Here is a 24103-nt window from a genome sequence, read left to right as displayed (position 1 = left end):
AGACTGTATTTTTTTTTTTTTTTTTTACAGCTGTGAGAACTGCAGACTGAGAACAATAAGTATTTTTAAAATAACAACCTTCCGAGTGACCACCGACGCATCAAATACTGGATTGGGCGTGGTGTTATTATAAGACCAAGAGAATGTAAAACATCCTGTAACATATCTTAGTAGAAGATCTTTGCCAAGGGAAAGAAATCTGTCTTCTATCTAAGAGGAATGTTTGGTAATCGTTTGGGCCTTGGATAAACTCAGGCCATACGTCTTGGGCCAGGCATTTACATTATGGACTAATCATAGAGCCCTGCAGTGAATATAGACATTGTGGAGTAAGAGTAGGTTACCGAGATGGTCATGGCAGCTTTGACACTCACAGAGACATGCAGCCTGTGTCCGGATGGGGAACATTCAGGCCAAGACCCTTTCTTAAAAGGAAAAATGTGAACGCTGGTATCCCCTGAACGGACCCCATCTAAGTGGATCCTGAACTCCCAGCCTGTGCCATCAGATAAGAATGTCAACATGGCAGAGGGCGAAGGTAAGAAGGGACCCGTCCAACTCAGCCTGCTTGGGTCACATTTTGTTTGCTTTATCAGGTCCAAGAGAAATCTGACTTCTTTGAGGGACCTGTGGGTGTCATTCACAGGGACTCCTGGTAACTGAGCTAGACAGTGAAAAACAGGCATTCTCTGTAAAAGGGCACTTGGGACTGACAAGAAGACAGAAGAAACAGAAGCTCGCCACTCATGACAGCAGCACAGGCGTAGGCTTGGAGAAAGAAAGATGAACTTGAGAGCCTTTGGTTCAGAGAGGTGTTACAGACTTGCTGAAAATGTAACTCCAAGCAGCAGCAGAAGATAAATGAGAACAGAAGGAGCTAGAAGGGAAATGGACTAAAGCAGGAAAAATACAAAGAAAAGCAAAGGCTAGGAGATCAAACATCTAAAACAATACTAGCAAACACATAGCACATGTACTGCAAGTGCCCTGCCCCAGGATTCACGGTGGTCTCACACCCTTCAGGGACCCCCCAGGCAGCCACTGGGAGGGACTGTTTCATGTGCACCTCCCAGGCCTGAAGCAAAAGCCTAGACTTTCCACTTCCAGTTAAACATGGAAGAGTGACCATCTTACACCTCCTCTCCCTTCCAAAACCCTACTAAATTTCCTACTGTTAGGGAATTTTAAAACGTTTTAACCTATGAGGACAAAGCAAAAAGAGAGGAGATATCCACAAATAAAGATTTCAGCAAACTTGGAGAAAAGTAGAGGAAAGCGTTGTAATTGAGTGTAAGTTGCAAACATTCATATCCACTGTGGAGGAAACTTGAGAACAAAGCCATCTGGACTGACAGACACCCCAGTAGCCCAGCCCTCGGAGGCACAGGAACCATGAAAGATGAGGCTCTGGTTCATGATGGAAAACTGAGCTACTAAGCCCATGTTATGCAGCCAGGCTACTACGTAACCCCCATGCTCCTCCCCAAGCAGGGGAGAGGTTTACTCTTCAGAGAAACTGAGAAGGGGCTGCAGACCCAGGAAACAGGCACCATGGAGAACAGAGCTCAGGGCAAGGGGCACCCAGAACACCAACCACACGTCCACCTCCACAGGCAGGAGATTCAAGGGTTCTTCTCTGGAGAAAACCAACCACCTGAGAGGAAAACCATCTACATAATGACAGTTGTGTGCAGGGTTCCAACAAAAAAAGATAGCTCAAAATCTGTTCTCCTAAAGAAAAGCTCATCAACCAACTACCCCACCTATGCATGCTGAGCTGCACGGCACAGGGCATCTGCAGCACATGCACGTAGAACTTTCGACCTGTCCAATATGGATATACTCTAAAAGCTGACAGCCATCTGGGGAAAGCCCCTGACAAGAAAGGCAGGGTTAACACAAACACAAAAAGAACTTGGAGGTGAGGGGATAGGCAGGGAAAATAAAAAGAACTTCAAAAGTCCTGTTATATTTGGCCAGGTGCGGTGGCTCATGCCCGTAATCCCAGCACTTTGGGAGGCCAAGATGGGCGGATCACAAGGTCAGGAGATCAAGACCATCCTGGCTAACACAGTGAAACCCTGTCTCTACTAAAAATACAAAAAATCAGCCGGGCGTGGTGGTGGGTGCCTGTAGTCCCAGCTACTCGGGAGGCTGAGGCAGGAGAATGGTGTGAACCCGGGAGGCGGAGCTTGCAGTGAGCTGAGATCGCACCACTGTGCTCCAGCCTGGGCGACAGAGCAAGACTCCGTCTCAAAAAAAAAAAAAAAAAAATCCTGTTATATTCTTAAAGAATGTTAATTAAAGTATGTTAAGATAGTGCATCCATGAAACAAGAACAGAATGCTATGTGAAGGAAATAATCAGAAACTAGAAAGGTCTTAGAAATTACATGGTCATAAAAATTAAAGAATTCAACAGAGAATTTAGAAGACAGTCGAGCAAATACCACAGAAAGGAGAACCAAAAATAAAAACAGAAAATAGGAAAGACAAGGAAATTTGAGATGCTGTCCAAAACAGCATTCCAGAAATAAAGAACAGAGAATATACAAAGAAGGAAAGTATCAAAGAAATATTGGAAGAAACTACACAAGCATGAGTTTCTACCTTGAAAGGGTTCATCAAAAGGGATGCATAGGAGACAATGGATATTCAAAGGCCCTCCCCGAGATACCTCATCACAACGTACCGGAATGCCAGAAATCAACCGAAGACCTGAAAAGCATCCAGAGGCAAAATTCAATCACACACAAAACAAAGAGCATCAGGATGGCATTGGTCTTACCACAAGCAGAATGCTGGAAGACAATGGTGGAATACCTTCAGAACTCTAAGAAACAAATGATTTCCAACACTGATTTCCAAAACTGGTTTAATTATGTCAAGTCTAGGGTGCAATCAACACATTTTAGATATGCAGAAGCTAAAACAATACTTCCCTCGCACCCTTTCTTGAGAAGCTATTAGAGGATGTGCTTTCAGTAACCAAGAAAGCAGGATGTGGTAGACAGGGGCCACCACAATAGAGGATGCTAGCTATGCTCCCAGCCTAGAACACAACTAGTCCAGACTGGAGTAGGAGGGTGGAAGACTAAGGGTAGGAGGCCTCCAAGAAAAAGCAAAATGCAAATGGTAGGTTATGTGTTTGAGTACTCAGAAAAATGGATAGATGTCAGAAAGATATTGCAGTGATTAATTTTATGTGTCAACTTCACTGGGTCATAGGGTGCCCAGATATTTGGTCAAGCATTATTCTGGTAATAATATGTGTGTCTTTGAGGGTGTTTCTGGACAAGATTAACATTGGAATCAGTAGACTGAATAAAGCAGACGGCCCTCCTCAAGGTGGGTGGGCATCATCCAATCAGCTTAAGGCCAGAATAGAACAAAAAGGCTGACCCTCCCTCAAGTAAGAGGGAACTCCTCCTGCCTGATTGCTTGTGTTGGAATTTGTCTCTTCCTGCCTTCAGACTTGAACTGAATTATTGGCTGGGTCTCAAGACTTCAGGCTTTCAGACTGGAACACAACATCGACTCTCCTGGGTCTCCAACTTGCCAAATGTAGATCTTGGGACTTCTCAGCCTCCCTAACTATGTGAGCCTGTTCCTTATAATGAACCTATTTCTATATATGCATACTATTGGTTTTGTTTCTCTGGAGAACCCTGACTAATACAGATATATAGAAATGTTTAGAAAGTGATATATGTGATAACATATGAAAGAACTGTAGTGAACTATTTTTTCCATAGTCATAATGTAAACAATAACTATTTAAAAGTTCAGTTGTAACTACATGGGGGTGATTAGGGTGCCAAAGTGAAGCTGGGGGAGTGGTTGATATAGGAGTGCTCAATCCAGTTACCTTACAAGAAGTCAAGAAGGAATATCCTAACTGGATAATTCACATTGTCTAGAAAAATTAAGGTAAATGCCAGAAGACACTTGCCTCTGGGGAGTGGGATGGAATTTGGGGGAATATGTTTTTCATTATAAGTCTTTTTGGGCTATTTGACTTTTAAATTATATGCATGTGTCTATAAATAAAAGTTAACAAAAAAAAAAAAAAAAAGGAAAAAAGGAAACCAGGTTTCCAGACATCAATTACAATGTGACTATACATGTTAAAAATAAGTTGATTATAGTTGGCAGTAGGGACAAACCTATTAGCCACCTTTAGCATGTGATGACAAGGTTACTTATTTGTAGCCAGCAGCTTTTTATCCAGTTGAGTGTCTTATGGGTTATAAGCAAACTACAAAGGTAACTAATTTATGTATTATGACCAAAATACTTTTTAAATTAAGCACAAGTGAATGATGTATCTCTGCACTTCTTAGTAATCAAAGCCTGAAATAAATTTAATTACAATGCATTTAGTTTCCTCTTGGCAGCAAATAACTTTTACAAGTGTTGAATGTCATTGTAAACAACAGTTTTTAAAAGCAATGCAAGCAATCCGTTGATAGATGTGGAGATCCCAAAGAGACACTAACAGGACAAACAGAGGGGAAAAAAAAAATCTAAATGACATACAAATGAAAGCCTGGGACTTCGCATAAAATTTCAAGGATTTTAAAAGTGCTCTCTTGGTCTGTTGCAAATAGAACCCACCCTAGCTGGTTCCAGGGGAAAATATATTTAAAGGACATCAGGCAGCTCGCAGAACCTCCAGGAGAGCCAGCTTTGAAGCTACTTAGCCAGGAACAGAGGACCTGCTGTGCCAGCACCAGGCCTAAGGCTACAGACATGTCTCATACACTGTTGCCCATGGTCACCAGCACTATGTAGTAACAAGACACAGTAGGGGAGACTAAGGCAGCTGGATCCCAAGCAAAACTTCCAATACACTTCTCCCGATTCCATCTACTGCTGGAAATAAAGAACTGTGAAATGTTCTTTGGGGGCAATGTGTATCTACTCTGGGGAAGGGTAGGTGAGGAGGTATCAGCACACGTGGATACTCCCCCCATGCCCGGGCACCATCATCTCATTCTGGATTGTCAGGGAGGGATCATCCAGCTAGGAAAATGGAAAAGTGAATCCCAGTTACTTCTCCCTTGTCAGAAGGAAGCTAGCAGCAAGCAGGAGATGAAATGGCAAGAGAAGCCAGGGTATTTATTTTGACTTTTCCTATTCTTCCCTTGTTCCTGGCAAGTCATAAAGGAAAGGAATAAGCCCTAGATGAGGGTTGAGAAGGCATCAGGTGAGGCTAGGAAGGCAGGTTAGGGCTCTACGCGTTATGATTCTCTGTTCTTAAAACAGATCAACATTTGCCTTTTGAGCCAAAGAGGTATCCAGATAATTATAATAATCGAATTACAAATTGGTCCACTTAATGTCTTCACATACTCATTTTGCAGTTGCCCAATCAGTTCCTTTGAAAACTGGACCTCAAAAGAGAACCCCCAAAAGGGAGGCCCTGGTATCTATCTCAGCCTGGGTTCCCTGAAGCAGAGCCACTACTTTATTCAGGGTGGAGAGCAATGGAGAGTGCGGCAGGGAAGGAGGGAGAGAAAACAGGATGGGGCATGTTCCCCAACTGACCTCTGCTTGGCGTCCAGTGCAACTGAGCCTGGGATCATGAGGAACCATCATAAAGGCAGCATCAGGACAGTCCGTTCAGAGAGGGGTAAGCAAAAGAACTTCACTAATTCCCATCTCCCAGCAGTGCCACCTCCCTACCCTCCTGGTTGCACATGGCTGAGCATCCATGGGGTCCTGGGAGTCTTGCCCCTCAGAGTCAACAGGGAGCCCCAGGGTGGCAGACATGAGGCTAGGAGCTGTGGCATTTGTCCACATGAGGACAGTTTTCACAGGGACTGAGCCAAGACTCCTGAGTTGATTACAGTCAAGAGGACCTGAGGCAGCACAGGAAAGATGTCTCATACAGTGTCTAGCTCGTAATTAAAACTCTCATTCCAACTTCCAGCAACATTTAGCTATCTTCCTAAAAGATAGAGTTGATTTTATATTCAAAAAGCAGTACTAATAAACAGAGACCTCTTCCAGCTGGGGATTTGTCCATTGAGTGTTATATTTCCTTCTGCAGAAATCCCCCATGCAGAAGACCGTGGATCCCCGGAAGGTCTTGGTATTGTTGTCAGAGAAGCCTGAACCCATACACTGCACCAAACATCAGCAAGCTTGTTATGTAAACAAGTATCACACATACATATAGGCACTATTTTAAGTGTACGTGGATGCTGTTGTGATTAGTAAGATACGGAAATTTACTGAATAAACAGATGACTGCATTCCTAAAGGATCTTTTTATTCTGTAATCACTGTGTTGATTGTTCTCTGCCTTCCCGGATCTATTCTCTGCCATTATTTGTCCCATTCTATGTCCCAGAAAGGAGCCCTTGCCCTTTGGTTTCCAGCTGGATTTGACCAGCAGGAGATGGAATGGTAAGATAAGTCAGGGTATTTATTTTGACTTTCAGCCCCCACCCTCACTTGTTCCTAGAAGCTCATTAGACACCTCTGAGCATCAGTTTCCCCATCTGTACAATGAGAGAGTTAATCAGATAATCTCTAAGGTGGTTTTTCAGTCACTGGCCCATGTTTTCACTTCCTGGATCCTCTGAAAGAATAGTTTATTCACATTTGCCAAATCAAATAGGTATGAATTCCAAGCTGGTATTTCCTTGTTGCTGTCAGGATGCTTTCTTTCAAAAATGGATCAAAATGACAGGATAAGAAAGTTTCCAGTTTGCCGTTATCTCTTTTCACATTAAGTGTTTACTGTGGACTGGTTCATTTTTATCATCTAAAGGCCGAATCAAATTTAGCAAATACCAAGCAAACGGTTGTGTGGGACTGTATAATTCATTTTTTTTGATAAGCATTTTACATGTTTCATCAGGTGCAAACTAGAACATCTGCAGTATAAAATATCACCCAGTGCACTTTGTAGGTGGCCTATCTATATTTACAGGGCATGTTGCGCGTCGTGTATAAAGTTACTCAAATGTGAAAAAGACTCAATTTCTTCTCAAAAAAATTTCCCAAATTGATTTGAGGGAGTGTATTAGCTCTCAGCCATAGAAATCATTTTTAAACATGGAAGAGTTAAAAATTCCTTCTTGAATTCAACATCTGGGAACATGGTTTATCAATCCAAGAAGAGCTGCACCCAACTCTACCAGCTCAGAACATCAAAAACAAAATATGAAGCATCTGAAATATGCAAGTACATCCTCCTGGCATCAGACCACAGAGTGGTCCTGGACTCCTGGGTGGCAGGGGGTTCATCCTAGTTTCAAAACTGTGCAAGACGATTTTCAGCAAGTTACATTTGCCTCACAAAAGGCTATTTTTAAAGTTTCTATCTGGTTTTAAGCCTTCTGGCTAAGGGCTTTTCCCAGGAACATATCCCTCGTTCTCTTCACCACGTGAAGCTTGATTATTTTTGCGGGTAGTGTCTGGAACTGTTTTGGATATAAAACATCTAAATTTAAAAATATCCTCATGCATATCAAAGAATGGAAGAACATCAGCATTATTCCATAATGCTTATTACAGATATAGCAATGGGTAAAAGTCTAGATCTGTAGGTTTATATAAAAACATCATGGGATAATAAGATTATTTTCAGTTTTTCTTGGACACGTACAATTTTCTAAATATCAAGTATTAACACAGCATGATGAAATGATAAAAACAATGAACTTTCTCCCATTTCCTTCTGTAAAGACAAGCATCTAACACTGCCATACTAAGCCACCCAAAAGTCTACTCCTGTACTTTTACATCCTAAGTATTTCATTTTGTCGGGCATATCTTCCAGGCAGTCACACTGTTTAGTATTAATTTCTTTGTGACTACGACTTTGACTCAAATATCATTCTTCTTAAACAGGAATATGTTTACTCATAGGAATGTTGTTTGTTAAAGACTGAAAATTTGAGGTATACATGACCAAAAATGTGAACGATAATAGGCAAAATTCGGAATAACCCCACATCAGCAAAAGTTATAGTGAAATTTCCCTACTATAAAATTGACAATAACAAGCATATTTTTTAAAAGCTCAGCATCACTGATCATTAGAGAAATGTAAATCAAAGCCACAATGAGACACCAACTCACACCAGTCAGAATGGCTATTATCAAAGTGACAAAAAATAACAGATGCTGGTGAGGTTGTGGAGAAAAAGAAATGCTTATACACTGTTGGTGGGAGTGTAAATTAGTTCAGCCATTGTGGAAGACAGTGTGGCAATTCCTCAAAGACCTAAAGTCAGAAATACCATTCGACCCAGCAATCCCATTACTGGGTATATAGCCAAAGGAATGTAAATCGTTCTGTTATAAAGACACATGCATGCATATGTTCATTGCAGCACTATTCACAATAGCAAAGCCATGGAACCCAAATGCCCATCAAGGATAGACTGACTAAAGAAAATGTGGTACATACACACCATGGAATACTATGCAGCCAAAAAAGAACAAGATCATGTGCTTTGCAGGGACATGGATGGAGCTGCAGGCCATTTTTAGCAAACTAACACAGGAACAGAAAACCAAATACTGCATGTTCTCACTTATAAGTGGGAGCTAAATTATGAGAACACATGGATACATAGAGGGGAACACCATACACAGGGGCCTATGGAAGGGCAGAGGGTGGGAGGAGGAAGAGAATCAGGAAAAATAACTAATGGATCCTAGGCTTAATACCTGGGTGATGAAGTAATCTGTACAACAAACCCCCATGACGCACATTTAGCTATGTAACAAACCTACACATCCTGCACATGTATCTCTGAACTTAAAAGTTAAAAATAAAATTGATAACAGATAACAGTAATAGTAACAACAACAGTAAAAGCATGACCCCAAACCCAACTTAGAGTAAACTGGTCACAATCTAAGATGCGTAGAACAAATACATCAAATAAAGTGTTTATCACTGTGGATATATAAATGCGCCTAAACCTCACTTTGAAAAAATTGGTAGAAAAAAACCTGAGTATTAGCTGAATGAAAAAAAAAATTCTTGCAATGATATTAATAAAGAAACTACGCACATTTTTAAAGAAAAATCACTAGAATTTTTTTTTTTTTTTTTTTTTTTTTTTTTTTTGAGACGGAGTCTCGCTCTGTCACCCAGGCTGGAGTGCAGTAGCACAATTTCGGCTCACTGCAACCTCTGCCTCCCAGGTTCAAGCAATTCTTCTGCCTCAGTCTCCTGAATAGCTGGGACTACAGGTGCACACCACTACGCCCAGCTAATTTTTGTATTTTTAGTAGAGACAGGGTTTTACCATATTGGCCAGACTGGTCTCAATCTCCTGACCTAGTGATCCACCCACCTTGGCCTCCCAAAGTGCTGGGATTACAGGCATGAGCCACCACACCCGGCTGTTTTTTAATAAAAGAGAAAAGTTGGGGTTTGGAACAATTCATTGGAAAACAATTAGTGAAGTACTTAGTTGCTTGAAATTTTATTTGGAGTTAGTTTCAGAAACACTTTAGGAGGTGAAGCGCAATTCATGAGAACATTTGGTGAAGCCCTGTCATGTAGACACAAACTATCCTGGTTTGGAGCAAAAAGAGACAGCCAAGCCAAAAATCAATAATACCACCAAACAACACATTTTAAACTACTCAACAGACACAAGTGAAGGAATAGTCACAGGACCTTCCAGTTGGCTGGGAGGCTTTATATTAGTGATGAGTCCATTTAATGATCTTTGCTTGTTCTGTTTATAATATTATTTGTGAAGGCTTATTAGTGTGCAAAATGCTTAGCTGTAAATTATTTAATGGAGTAATATTTAATCAAGTATTATTATTCCATTCCATTCATAGTAAGAATGGTACTTACATCTCTGAAGATGTAGAGCGGATGGTTAAAATTGAGAATAGCAGCCTGGACAGAGGCTGGTGAAGGCACAGACAGCTTCAGTAGAGAACAACACACTCAAAAAAAGAAACGAGTCAATGCAGACAGTGGTTGAATATTAGTTTGTAGAAACATTGCAATAAAAAGTGCCTCCTAGGAAAGCTTGCTTTATTTATCCACTCGAATACTAGCTATGGGGAGGGGGAAGGACTGGGTAGGTCATGACTAGTGTTCTTAAACTTACTGTTGAATTGTTTTTTTTTAATGAGAAAACAAATGTTCTCAAAACACAAAAGTAAAGACCTGGATACAATGAATTATTTTATTATTCAGAAATTGACTTATTTAGGAAACTTTTTTCTTTCATAGCTGAAACCCACCATTGCAAAGAAGAGCTAATATGAAAAGGTTTGAGAGTTTTTCATGAAGAGCTCAGATCCAGAGGTCTGTAAGTCTTTGAGTTAGGTTATTTACATGTGAAGACAAGATAATTATTTACATGGGTCAAAATAAAGAGCAACAGTTGTCGTTACTGAAATCAGAAACACTTTGGGTCCATGATATTATAGAAGTAACTTGGCTTCTCAGCATGAAGAAATACCTACCGAAATTCCTATATGTAATTCCTATGCCTGAAAATGTAGCATGGAACCACTTCTTTGGCAACATGCTGAATATCTCCCTGTGTGGAATGCCCCAACACTTATGTGTATGAATTTCTGTTCTCAATATATAACACCAACAAAGAGAGAGAGGCTGCCTGGACCCAGAACTTATTATAATGTAGCATTAGCACTCTTTTTATCAACCCAATTTTTAAAATATCCAAAAATCATATCTTTTTTCCTCAATAGCAAGGAATATAAAAGCATTTTTCTATTAAGACAAACAGGCATACACTACTGTGCACAATGAAAATCCCACACGCATTCATAAGAATGTGTAGACATCTCTAGTCTTTCTTTGTACTACTTGGGGCCACATTTCCAGGGTTCTCATCCATTCGAGTCTAGAGCTAAGGACACTTAAGAGAAAAGGCATTGTACCTCTTGTTTAAGTAGAATATGATGGTACTGACATAATTTAATCCAACTAAAATGTGAAATTCTGGCAAGAGATACATAAGGCTGCTCTTTTCTAAAGTAAAGAATCCCAACAGGACAAAGGGCTAGCTCTTTCCCTCCCCCACCAGAGTCTCCATTTACCATCCCTGGGCATTGAGCTCTCAACAGAGCAGATCTTCCCCTTGCCCCCAAACCCAGCAATGCAGCCCACTGTCAACGATACCTTCCACTTTTAAGCTATGTAGAAATATGAATTTTAAAAATAGGGCAAAAAATTTCCCATGATGACCAATCTTTGTGATGAGTTAAAGCCGCTTACTAGCTGTTGGATCTATCTGATCTTAGCAAGTTGCTAAACCTCCCTAAACCTAAACTTAATAATGTCCTTTGTCTTACAGAAGTGCTCGGAGGACTGTGTGAGATGCTTCTTGTAAAGCAGCCCAGCACACTGCCTGCCACATAGTAAATATTCAATAAACATTACTACTATTAGGGACCAAGTCTTTAATGAGCTGGGTTCAGGGTCAAACGCCATTAACAGGTTCTGAAGTAAAAGACATCTCTCTCAACATCAAAAATACTACAGACTACTTAAGGAGATAATATTAACATTTAATATTAACATTCAAGAAATAAGTGACGTAAAACCATATGTGAGCAACAGGGCTGGTAGACTTGGTGTGTTCAAGTTCTTAGTCTCATTGGCCATATGAGCTTGACCAAGCAACTGTATACAACAGAGTTACAAAGATCTGACCTGGCCGGGCGCGATGGCTCACGCCTGTAATCCCAGCACTTTGGGAGGCCGAGGCTGGCGGATCGTGACATCAGGAGATGGAGACCATCCCGGCTAACACAGTGAAACCCCGTCTCTACTAAAAATACAAAACATTAACCGGGTGTGGTGGCACGCGCCTGTAGTCCCAGCTACTCGGGAGGCTGAGGCAGAAGAATCGTTTGAACCCGGGAGGTGGAGGCTGCAGTGAGCCGAGATTGTGCCACTGCACTCCAGCCTGGGTGACAGTGCAAAACTCCGTCTCAAAAAAAAAAAAAAAAAAAAATCTAACCTGCCCACCTCACAGGTCAAAGAAATAATATACATGAAAATCCTCTGGGGGCTAGAGAACTTTATGTGCATGTTTGTAAGTATTATTGTGACTACAATTAATTAAAATAGGGTACTCTGTTATAGGGCCCAGGCTGAAAAGGATACGCAAGTTGAATAAGGAAGAAATCAGTGAGGAGTCAGGTAGTTGGGGATGCCTTCATGGATCTGGTAAGCTTTGAGTTGGACCCTGAAGATTAGATAGAATCTGGGTAAATGAACAGCACTGGCAGGAATCCTAGCAGAAGTCACTACATGAGCAAGTTCAGAGTGAAGTGCTTGGTAGAGTGTAAAGTGGAATGGTGGGAAAGTAAGTGTGGGTTAACTGTGGGTGTTGGCCTATGTGGACCGTCAAAGTCAAGGAGCAGAGCTTAGCTAGGATATGTCGGAACCAAGGCAGCACTGGACAAGCAATGGCTACCCCTAGAAACAGGACTGTTGACAGCTACAGGATCAACCTCACATTTACAAACAAGTAACACATCTCCTTGTCTTCTTTTTTCCTATTTCTTCCTTTTTTAAATTTTATTTCTTACAACTATACCAGGTTATGGTACAGCTGGACAGGGATATAAATCAGTGAACTCTGAGAACACTTTTAATCCAAGCACCAAATAAGGCAGCATTTCCTGTGACTGCTGGACGCCACGGTTTAAGTGAGATGCCAAACATTCCTCATTTGGGAAAATGCGCAATAGTCCACAGAGAGAACAAAATCAAAATGTGAAAAGTTGAATAAAAAACACTCCTTTGGAAATAAAATATTACTCAGCATAAGTTAGCTGACCTCATCTTTGGGACTAGAAAAATAACAGTAAATAGTAATAATAGCTAACATTTATTGAGCCCATACCAGGTGTCAGGTGTAGGAACTATTTCATTTAATCTTCTCCCAAACCTTTGAGGGGGATACTACTATTATCCTCCTTTCCCTAATGGGGAATCTGAGGCCTTTAGTCCCGGAGCAGGTGAACATCAGAGTCAGGGTTTTAATGGTTATACTACATGAGCCAAAGCCAAAGGACAGTGAAACTGCTGATGGCTGAACACGACAAATAGGAACATTTTTTATCAGTTTTGAAAATTAGTCATCTAAGATACAAAATTCCTCATGGTAAAAAACCAACTCTATAATTACTGAACAAGTGCCTTTCATATATACAAACTCATTTATCAAATGGAGAAAAGATTATCTTAAAATTTCTTCATGCTATGGAGAAAGGATCCCACTTAACACAATACATATATCCAGAAACAGTCATACGCACTGAATTTCTGTAAATCAAGTACTATATTTACTAAAGAACTTCTCTAGGGTAAATGTGCAGTAAATATTTAATAAAATGAAGAATCGTTTTGCAACCTGAATAGTCATTCAATAATTTATCTGTTTTGTAAATTTGGATATACAGCAGACTCTTGACATTCCTGAGGCATACATCTGAAACCTTCTTGAATTCCCAGATCCACAAATACAAGAATGTTTATAGAGGCTCCCAGCTTTCGCTTGAATCACATTTCTATGGAGAGCCATATGCGTTTTCCTGTGCATAGCCTCACACTACAAGTTAACCCTACTTTCAGATTTCACTAAATGTTGCTCTCACCTGATGGCTGTTTTTCACAGACACAACACAATGTTTTAATTAACAAGCATTGTTACAAATGCATGAATGCGCAGAACAATAAGGATAAATGACCCTTTTCCATAACATGTGTCTTGCAAAGTAGACTTCTCGGATTCATACCTCAGCCCAACTCTGTGCCACAGACCCACAGGGGAACCCACAAAGAATCACAAACCTGTGAGTTAAATCCATGAACACCTAAGGTCTGAACACATTTATTAAGTTTGCCTGGGCAGGGACATGGGGCGTATCTATAGAATCCACTTGCTAACCCACAAGTTACAGAAGCTGACTGAACCTTTTGGTGATGAGTCCAGAAAGTTCAATTGTAGAAACATTGCCCCCATGAATTACAAATGATTCACCTACAAATTCAAAATACCGATACTTTGTATGATGAGAGTTGAAGATCAAATTTGGGTGATTTCACAGCCTTCAGTAATGTAGTCCATTCACAGCGGGTATGCTGGGCACAAAAACCAGCAGATGGACCTTTTTGAAGGACTGTCCTGGAACTCGCAGTCCCTGGCTCGGTTTAGACACACCTCCAAAACACCACTAACCATGAAAGACAGAACAGGGCAAAGAGTGAGGGAGGGACTGGGTGAGTGAGAAAGGAAGACACACTGAAACCAGGAGAAACAATGAAAGAAACAGAAACACAGGAAAAATGAGAGAGAGAGGGAGGGAGGGAGGGAATGAGGAAAAGAAATAAAGAATGAACAAGGAATTTGGCTGCTGTGCAGGAACAGAAAAAGAAAGATGTTATCATTTCAAAATACATATTATAGCTTACACATTTCAGAACATATTTGAAAACATGACTGCCAAATTTTCAAATTATTTATTTTCACCCCTTTTGTTCCAAAGAGGTTTTGCAGGATTTTGCTGCCAGATTAATTTTCCTGAAGCTCAGCTCTGATCATACTACTCTCCTGCTTACAAACCCCAATAACTCCTCACTGCCCATAAAAGGCAGTCCAGTTTCTTTAGCCTCCTGTTTGAGGCCCTCTATAATCTGGCCCCAAACTTCCAGGCCAACCTCGTCCTACACTGTTCCCCTTTATAAGTTCTTTGCTCCAGAGGAAGGACACTCGCCGATGTTTCCTAACACCTGTATTTTCTGCCCAAGCACCTTTGCTTCTGTGGTTCCCTCTGCCTGGAACACCCTTCCCCTACATCTGCACACGCCCAGTCCCACTTGCTCCTGGAAGCTCTACCTGGAGGATAAGCATACAGCAGGCACCCAGTCACCAATAGTGGAATGTCCAACACTGATACACGTGCTTTACACATGGCATCTCGCCGGAACCTCACAACAAGAGGAAGTTATTTCTTAATTTTCTAGATATGCAACTGTGGTCCAAGGGAGCTAGGGCTTTTGCACTGAGGTTGTGTCCTTTGCCCATTGCTCTTCCTGCTACCCCAAGGCCACTGTTTGTACAGAACAAAAAGTGACTGCATGAATCAATGCCAACATGTTGTAGCAATCTTTGTGTTTTTTTTTTTTAAAGGGGAAAAAGTACACCTTTCCATTCTGTGTGAACTCGAATTCGCTTGTCCAGTCCTGAGTCACAGTTTCATTTGGGAGCCCCTGTGCAGCCCTTGCCAGTTTCCACGAGGCAGGATACTCCACTAGCTGATTCAGACAGGCAGAGGCTGCAGAGGCCCAAGAAGCCAGGGCGGTACGGATGCCCCAGGCACCCTCCACACTTCCCTCCTGGAGATGCCACAAGAACATATGCAGAAGGAGGCTGATAACCACCAAAGATGTCAATGGATCCAGTTCTACTCCTTCGCATCCTAAGAATGTGCCAAAGGATTTTTAAAGGTGCCATTTATCACCAAGGGTGGGAGAGCAGGTTGCTAACACTATTTATACAACCTCCAAAGCCGGCTTAAACAAACATGGCAACTGGGTGTAGGACCAGGCATCATGACTGATTGATGGGGGCCTTTTAAGCACGCAAAGCCGCCAATATCTACAGGCTCACTGGACACGGGCCAAAGCTATTACACTATGAGCTGTTACGTAACCTTAAGTACAAATGGAATTTGAGCTGTACACATCTGATATGCTTCCCCTTTCTAATTTTTGGCATCAAGAGGCTACGTGAATTGACTGGAATGTAAGAGTCCTCCCCTCCATTTTCTCCCTTTCCTGATGACAGGCAGGCCACGTGATCACAGCAGAACATCTCATAATAGTTACTGATGTACTCAAAGTTTCCTCAAACCAAACGTTCCACTGTCCTGTTGAAATCTGACCTATTTTTAATAGGCTGCTCCGTTTAAAATCAGCATAATTTGCTGGAGCATGACTTTAGATGAAAGCTGTTTCCTGGGATAAATCCAAACTTCAATCCCCTGGACAAAACTCAACTCAGCCCAATAAATTATGGCTCACTCGATAAAATTTTAAAGCAAAAATAAATTAATCCAATAACCATATGAAATCTATGGTCGCCCTGCCAGTTTCTTGCCCCTACTCATTTGTTGACTTCTGGGCTCACTAAACTCGTGACAAGGTTTGTCTGCCTAGCGTTTCTTACCCCTGCAATACTTGGCTTTCTCCACCCCTCTAACCTGCCATATTTCAGACTGGCACAATCGAACAAACTCCTTGCCCCATCAGAGACTAGTCAAGGTCCTCCTCCTTGCCTCCGCAGAGAAACAGCATCTGCAGTAAGATTTCAAAGAAAAAGATCAGCAGAGCACAATGTAGAACTTTGTTTCCCCAAACTTTTCTTATTAATTACTAAATAGCGTTCTTGAGTTGCAACTTCTGTTGAACAGCTCCAGAGCTACAAGTGAGTTATTAATCACCTACATTTTAAAAATCTGTATCGGGGCAGGTTGAGGCAGGTGGATTGCTTGAGCCTAGGAGTTCAAGACCAGCTGGGCAACATGGCAAAACCCTGTCTCTATAAAAAGTACAAAAATGTATAGTGCATGGCTGTATTCCCAGCTACTTGGGAGGCTGAGGTGTGAGGATCACTGACCCCAGGGAGATCAGGGCTACAATGAGCCATGATCATGCCACTGCACTCCAGCCTGGGTGACAGAGTGAGACCCTGTCTCAGCAAAACAAAACAAAAACAAGCAAACAAAAATTCTGTTGGCTTCTAGCAGTCTTTAGTTTGAAATTAAAATGTGGGACTTCTCCCTGTTTTATTTCTGAATCATTAAACATAATTAAGCAGACATTTGTCAACAAAGTTACACAGTGCTTTCCTCACAAGGCGGAGTGCTGGCGGGAGGCAGTAGTGGTGGTATTTTTATATTTGGAAATCCAAAAGAAAGAATAAAAAATATAGATTAAAAACTAAGCACTACCCAGTGAAGGGTGCTGCTGTACAGGAGGAATCTTACACAGTGGGTAGTGATGATAGCTTCTGCTTTGGCCAGAGGGAGCTACAGAATACTGTATGTGCCATCTTAGTCCCAGCACAGAAAGGGCTGGGAGGTATCTACCTTCAGTGGACCATCCAAAGATCACTGGACACCACCAGGAGAAAAGTGATTCCAATAGAGCAGTGACAGTCACAGAATAGGAAAGACAGAGAGAAGCAAAAACCCAGAAATGTCTCCCACGTTAAACAGAAATGGCTGTGAATGAGAGCATTCTATTCCAGGGTAATGTATGTCACACGTAGTAATCTTAAAGAAAAATATATCCCTACATATACTCAATTACCAAGTATTTGGGTTACTAAGTAAAAGGGCCTCAAACAGTTAACTGATGGTGAAGCCTAGATTTGCAGCTAAGAGGTGTGATAATTATGTCTATGACTTCAGGATATGATGACAAGTGCTTGCCACTGTTTAGGCTGAAGGCAGCTGGGTTTGGAAACAATAATTCAGATACAGGCCAGGCACGGCGGCTCACACCTGTAATCCCAGCACTTTGGGAGGCCAAGGTGAGCAGACCACCTGAGGTCGAGAGTTTGAGACCAACCTAGCCGACATGGTAAAACCCTGTCTCTACTACAAATACAAACATTAGGTGGGCGTGGTGGCGGGCGCCTGTAATCCCAGCTCCTCGGGAGGCTGAGACAAGAGAATCACTTGAACCCGGGAGGCAGAGGTTGCAGTGAGCCCAGAATGCACCACTGCACTCCAGCCTGGGTGACAAGAGTGAAACTCCGTTTCAAAAAAAAAAAAAAGAAGAAGAAGAATTCAAATACAAATAGTTGCCAGTACCTCCATTTTATTATTCTGCAGTGGATACGGCCTCAGATGCAGACAGGAAATACAATCAAAAGAATTAAACCTATTTAATACACAGCCATCAGATGATCCAGTTTTTAAAACTATCCTTGATTCAGTTCCTCCACCTCTGGATACACTGCCCCCAATGAGAGAATTCTTAATTTAAAGGATTATTCTGGGAAACCAGGCCAGCCCCTGACAATTTCACCCATCCTAAGGTCATCTCTTGAAAAATTACAATCCGCTACATATTGTTTTTTACTTACATTTTAAATGTGAATACATTTAGACAATGTACGATAACCTGTTCATATTTATTTGCATCATTCCCTGCCATTAAAGAATGCATACAGGCATTTGTAGTCAAATATAATGAAATATTGTAAACATTTATGAAGCTCATCGTCTTTAATAAAGAATAGAGACTCATCTCAAATTTTCGAGCAACTAGCAGGATTAATCGGCACCTAGGTAACCATGATTGGAAAGATTGAAAAACCATAGAACTGGCAAAGAGGCAGCACAGATGTAGCCATTCCCCCTTCCCAAGCCCAATCAAGGCATCACTAATCAATCCCAATAACATTCCTTGTTTCCAAGCCCAGCACATCAGAGCTCACACAGGTGAGGAGACCTGCGCGTTATGACTCATTAACCACACTCTAAAGGGAAGAGTCAGGATAATAAACAGCAAGCCCCAAAGCACAGAAATCAGTTTAAGGAAATAAAATTATTCAGCAGGCTGGCAAAAAGAAGATGCGGGGTGACAACATGATTGTATTAAAATATCCGAAGAGGTACACTGGATGTTGTGCTCAACATGGCTCCAAAGGGTAACTAGGCAATAAATAATTATTCCAGGGTAAACATGGTGGCATCACAAGAATGTACCAAGGCAGATTTTACCCAGATAAAAGGAAAGAGGGGTGCACCTTCCCACCTCAGACTACAGCTACACAAGTGATTTTTCTTTTAATCTTTTGTAAACAACTCCCACTGATTCATGGAGTGTTCTCACAGAAATTTCTAAGAAATGGAGACTGGCAGGTTTGGTAGCTGTTTAACAGCTTTGGGGGAAGGACAGTGTATTAGTCCGTTCTCATGCTGCTGATAGAAACTTACGCTAGACTGGGTAATTTACAAAGGAAAGAAGTTTAATTGACTCACAGTTCAGCATGGCTGGGGAGGCCTCAGAAAACTTAGAATCATCGCAGAAGGGGAAGCAAACACAGCCCTCCTCACACGGTGGCAGTAAGGCGATGCACCAAGCAAAAGGAGGAAAAGCCCCTTATAAAACCAACAGATCCCGTGAGAACTAACTCACTATCACGAGAACAGCAGCAAGGGGTAACTGCCCCCATGATTCAATTATCCCCACCTGGACCCTCCCATAACAGGTGGGGATTATGGGAACTACAATTCAAGATGAGATTTAGGTGGGAACACAGAGCCAAGCCAAATCAGACTGTATCAGTGGGGTGAGAATGTCTGATAAATATATAAAGCATGGGCTGAATGTGTAATTTAAATATAAGTTGCATATTCACTGATCACACCGTAGTTGTAAATCTAACTCTGAAAACCTCTTGATATGCACCAGATACTAATATCTCAAGGTCCATGCAAGGTACAACAAAATGTCCCAACCACTCCTTCAGGACATGTCCCCACCAATTTACAACATGGTGACCTCTGCTCGGAGAGTGAGAGAACTGTGCTACAAGAGATTAAGACAGAGACCCAGGATTTCCTGGAGAAGTCTTAGTAGTCTTGATGTAAAAACACATTTGTTTGTTTTTAAAGGAAATGAATCAGTCATGGCTTGGATGCATGGAGGGAGAAATTCTTCTGCAGGCCCTCAGGCAAATCGCTGCTCTCAGCTTGGTGGGCTGTGCTTATGTAACTTCTCGGTGACTCTGATTCTTCTCTGTTGTTCTGTGACCCAGGGCAGACCATCCTACCCCTGTGAGTCTCTATTCCTGCATCTGTTGAGTAGGAACACTAGAATACTGACACCCCGACCAGCCACACGATGACAACTGAGCAAGGCAGTCTTTGTAGAAAGCTGAGTTCTTGGAAGAGAGAAACAATAGGATCGGGTCTCAGTATTTAATATTTTGCAGTGAGTTTAAGCTCTATGCTTGGTTTCAAGTCCTTAAAATCATTCCTATTTAGTCTAATCTGCTCATTAGATGTTGAAATACACCCTGAGGCTTTTCTTTACTAACTACCCAGAATGACATGGGTTCAAGTGCCAGGAAAGAAACAGCTTTTTAAAGAATCATTTACACCTGCTAGAATACCCTAGAATAGAGGCAATTTTCTCCCTCAATCTTTCCTTTCTCATATCCTACATTTTCCAGTGGAAAGACTTACAGAGGTAGGTAATAACCATTTGCCCCATCCTGCATTCTCCTTCCTCTTTAGCTAGAGAGAGAAACATGGTGTGGGTGTGAGAAGGAGGCCTGTCCCAGAGACATTTCACACATATACTCCTACTTGGCAGCAGTGGTGGGAGAAGAACTAGACCAGCAACCAGGATTATAGGAATCAGGGAGGAGGGAATCATTCCTCACTCCCATCCTAAGGTCATGCCCCCTTATGATGCAGTGGCCCATGCGCCTGTGTAAATACACACTGGTCAACCTGAATTACACCAGCATCACATTTGGGATCAGAGGGGATCTACACAGGTCTTGTCTGTACAATCTTCAGAAATGCAAACACAACAAGAAGGAGGAATGAATGATACTTGCGTGTTACATTTCAATTTCAACAATTCCCCCAAAGGTGTCAGGAAGCCCTACCAGCTGAATGATGAAATGACAGTTGATGAGCCAGGTGGCTACCCTGACATGTCATGAGTTTCAGTCACAGACACCAATCATTTTTGTCCATCCCATATCCACTTTCCCTTCTTTCTAGATTTCTTATTTGAAAATTACTTCTCCCCTCTGTGTGTAGTCTTGGCGAGACTGTCACTCAGGGTGTCCCAGCTCCCCCTGGCCAAGGTGTGGGATGTGGCCTAAGCTAAGCCAATCCAACCCTTGTTACCAGGACTTTGACTCTTAGATGGAGAAACCTGCTGGAATTTTCCATTGCAGCAGCAGCACACTAATGAGACTGTGAGTTCTGTCCACCTGGAAGCCCAGGGCTTCCCAGTTTCCATCCTTTACCAAGCCTACTTCTCCACACTTCCTGTTGGGTCTCTGAGCTATTGGATATCCTCCTGATAAAATCCTTTTGTGTTTGACTTAGCCAAAATTGGTGTCTGTTGCTTGCAAAATAAGAAAGCTAACTAACACAGATGTCTGGCTTGCTTCCTCGGATTCTGACCTATTAGAGGATTCCTACGCCCAGCAAAGCCCTATAATTCTAAATGAGTCTCAAAATGATACTGTGTATTTTTAAATTTTATTTCGATTGATAAATATTTGTATATATTTATGGGGTTTCAATACGTGTATACATTGTGGAATAAGAAAATATGGTTAATTAACGTATCCCTCACCTCATACTTATTTCTTTGTGGTGAGAACATTTAGAATCTACTCTTTTAGCAACTTTGAAATATACATTATTATTAATTATAGTCACCTTGCTGTGCAATAGATCACCAAAACTTTTTCCTCCTGTCTCACTGCAATTTTGTGCCCTTTGACCAACATTTTACTTTTCACCACCCACTCCCTCCCTCCTCAGCCTCTGGTAACTGCCATTCTACTCTCTTCTTCTGAGTTCAAATTTTTACATTCCACATAAAAGTGAGATCATCTAATATTCATCTTTCTGTGCCTGGCTTATTTCACATAGCATAACGCCCTCCAGGTTTACCCATGTTGTCACAAATTACAGAATTTCATTCTTCTTTCAGGCTGAATCGTATTCTTTCATGTACACAGACCACATTTTTAAATCCTTTCAGCTGTCGATAGGCACTTAGGTTGTTTCCATATCTTGGCATGTGAATAACGCTGCAGTGAACATGAAAGTGCAGACGTCTCATCAACACACTGCTTTACATTCCTGTGGCTATATACCCAGAAGTGGGACTGCAGAATGATGGTAACTCTATTTTTAGTTTTTTTTGAGAAACTTCCATACTGTTTTCCAAAATGGCTGTTCTAACTTACATTCCCACCAACGGTAGACAAAGGTTCCCCTTTCTCCATATCCTGGCCAACACTTACCATTTTTCTTTTTCTTTTTTTTTCTTTTTGAGACAGAGTCTCATTCTATCACCCAGGCTGGAGTGCAATGGCATGATCTTGGCTCACTGCCACCTCCGCCTCCCGGGTTCAAGTGATTCTCCTGCCTCAGCCTCCTGAGTAGCTGGGATTACAGGCGCGCGCTACCACACCTGGCTAATTTTTTGTGTGTTTTCACTAGAGACGGGGCTTCACTACGTGGCCAAGCTGGTTTTGAATTCCTGACCTTAAGTGATCTGCCTGCCTCGGCCTCCCAACACTTACCATCTTTCATCTTTTTTCTAATGGCCATTCTAACAGGCATGAGATGATAGCTTATTGTAGTTTTAATTTGTATTTCCCTGCTGATTAGTGGTATCGAGCATTTTAACATATACCTGTTGGCCTATTTTATGTCTTCGTTTGAGAAATGTCTATTCAGGTCCTTTGCCCCTCCCTCCCCACTTCTTTCTTTTTTTTTTTTTTTTTTTTTTTTTTTGAGACAGAGTCTCACTTTGTCCCCTGGCTGGAGTGCAATGGTGTGGTCTCAGCTCACTGTAACCTCCACCTCCTGGGTTCAAGCAATTCGGCTTTGGCCTCCCGAGTAGCTGGGACTACAGGTGCGTGCCACCACACCTGGCTAATTTTTGTATTTTTACTAGAGACAGGGATTCACTATGTTGGCCAGGCTGGTCTCGAATTCCTGACCTCGTGATCTGCCCGCCTCAGCCTCCCAAAGTGCTGGGATTACAGGTGTGAGCCACCACACCCAGCCCCTTTGCCCATTTTTAAGAGTTGTTTTCTTGCTAGTAAGTGGTTTCAGTTTCTTGCATATTTTGGATTTGAGCCCCTGATCTGACGTATGATTTGTAAATATTTTCTCCCAATCTGTGGGTTGTCTTTTCACTCTATTCATTGTTTCTTTTGCTATGCAGAAGCTTTTTAGTTTGATATAATCTCATTTGTCTATTTTTGCTTTTGTCTGTGCTTTTGAGGTCATATGCAAGAAATCATCCCCTAGACTGATGTCTTGTAGTGTTTCTCCTATGTTTTCTCCTAGTAGTTGTATAGTTGATACTACACATTTTTGAGTCTAATAAAAGAGAGAAACTAGAAAGCCTTAGAATAGTTCACAATGTGACATTAATACTAGCTCTAAAAGTCTCCTTCAGGAATTGGAGAGACAGAGTGAGAGAGAGAGGCAGAGAGTGAGACAATGAGAAAGAAAGAGAAAAGGGAAAAGAGAATCATAAGGTTTTAAAAATATAGTTTATATTATATACAATAAAATGCACATAAGTGTATAGTTCAATGGATTTTGATAACTGTATACACCCATGTGTATATAATGCCAATCATGACATAAAACATTACCATCATTCCAGAAGGTTCTATCATTTCCCTTTCCAGCTATAATACTCCTCCCACCTGCATAGGCAAACACTGTTCTGATTTCTATCACCACAGCCTAATTTTTCCTATTATAGAATACCATATAAATGGAATCAGACAGTATGTGCTCTTGTATCTGCCTTATTTTGCTCAACATAAAGTTTTTGAGATTCATCCAGGATTTTACATGTGTCAGTAGTGTGTTCTTTTTTTACTTTGAGTAATACTCCATTGTATGAATGTACCACAATTTTTTTATTCAGTCTCCTGTTGATGGATATTTGGGTTGTTACCAGTTTGAAGCTAATATGAAAAAAGGTGCTGTGAACATTCTTGGGCAAATTTTTTTTTATGGCAAAACGATTACTTTCATTTCTCTTGAATGAATTAATTTTTATTAAATGATGAAGAAGCTTTTTATAAAAGCTTGCAGAGAAGCAATAATACACATTCTACAGGAAGAAAAAATGCCCACTTTGCATCTTTTCTTTTAGGATAGCACAGGTTCAGAGATATCATTCTATTAAATCTGTACTCCCTTGCTACAAGCTACATCCTCACATCTACAGAACATCCTCATTCCTTTATCATTCTAGACAAACCTTTCCCTTCTCCTTAAAGTAGCATACACTCCTAATATGCCTTCTACATGGCCAT

The 24103-nt window shown here is 41.4% G+C and overlaps 1 protein-coding gene and 2 long non-coding RNA genes across 7 annotated transcripts in view, besides 1 other annotated feature; 1 reads left to right on the top strand and 2 right to left on the bottom strand.

The window, feature by feature from the left end:
- Positions 1–89: part of an enhancer, noted in NCBI's record as "P300/CBP strongly-dependent group 1 enhancer chr15:71587200-71588399 (GRCh37/hg19 assembly coordinates)", that runs on past the window's edge. NCBI's record gives its function as "activates an origin of replication core promoter dependent on BRD2, BRD4, P300/CBP, MED14 and CDK7 cofactors, with strong dependence on P300/CBP, by STARR-seq in HCT116 cells {active_cell/tissue: HCT116}" and the evidence as "EXISTENCE:reporter gene assay evidence [ECO:0000049][PMID:35650434]".
- The window catches only part of LOC124903520 (uncharacterized), a 15761-nt gene extending 11384 nt beyond the window's left edge, over positions 1–4377 (top strand). Inside the window, exon 2 of the long non-coding RNA XR_007064700.1 lies at positions 31–4377. This is a non-coding gene — a long non-coding RNA (uncharacterized LOC124903520). The remainder of the gene's footprint in view (positions 1–30) is intronic.
- The window catches only part of THSD4 (thrombospondin type 1 domain containing 4), a 686490-nt gene that overhangs the window by 488434 nt on the left and 173953 nt on the right, over positions 1–24103 (bottom strand). The window lies entirely within an intron of this gene.
- On the bottom strand, positions 3147–24103 carry LOC124903521 (uncharacterized). Its single transcript, XR_007064701.1, has 2 exons — positions 22824–24103; positions 3147–17546 (listed from the first exon to the last, which is right to left on the bottom strand). It is a non-coding gene; the product is annotated as an uncharacterized LOC124903521 (long non-coding RNA).

The sequence above is a fragment of the Homo sapiens genome, chromosome 15 (genome assembly GCF_000001405.40).
Source record: "Homo sapiens chromosome 15, GRCh38.p14 Primary Assembly".
NCBI classification, from domain to species: Eukaryota; Metazoa; Chordata; class Mammalia; order Primates; family Hominidae; genus Homo; species Homo sapiens.
The sequence above is the reverse complement of the archived record's forward strand: the minus strand, read 5'-3'. Positions and strand labels throughout refer to the sequence as shown.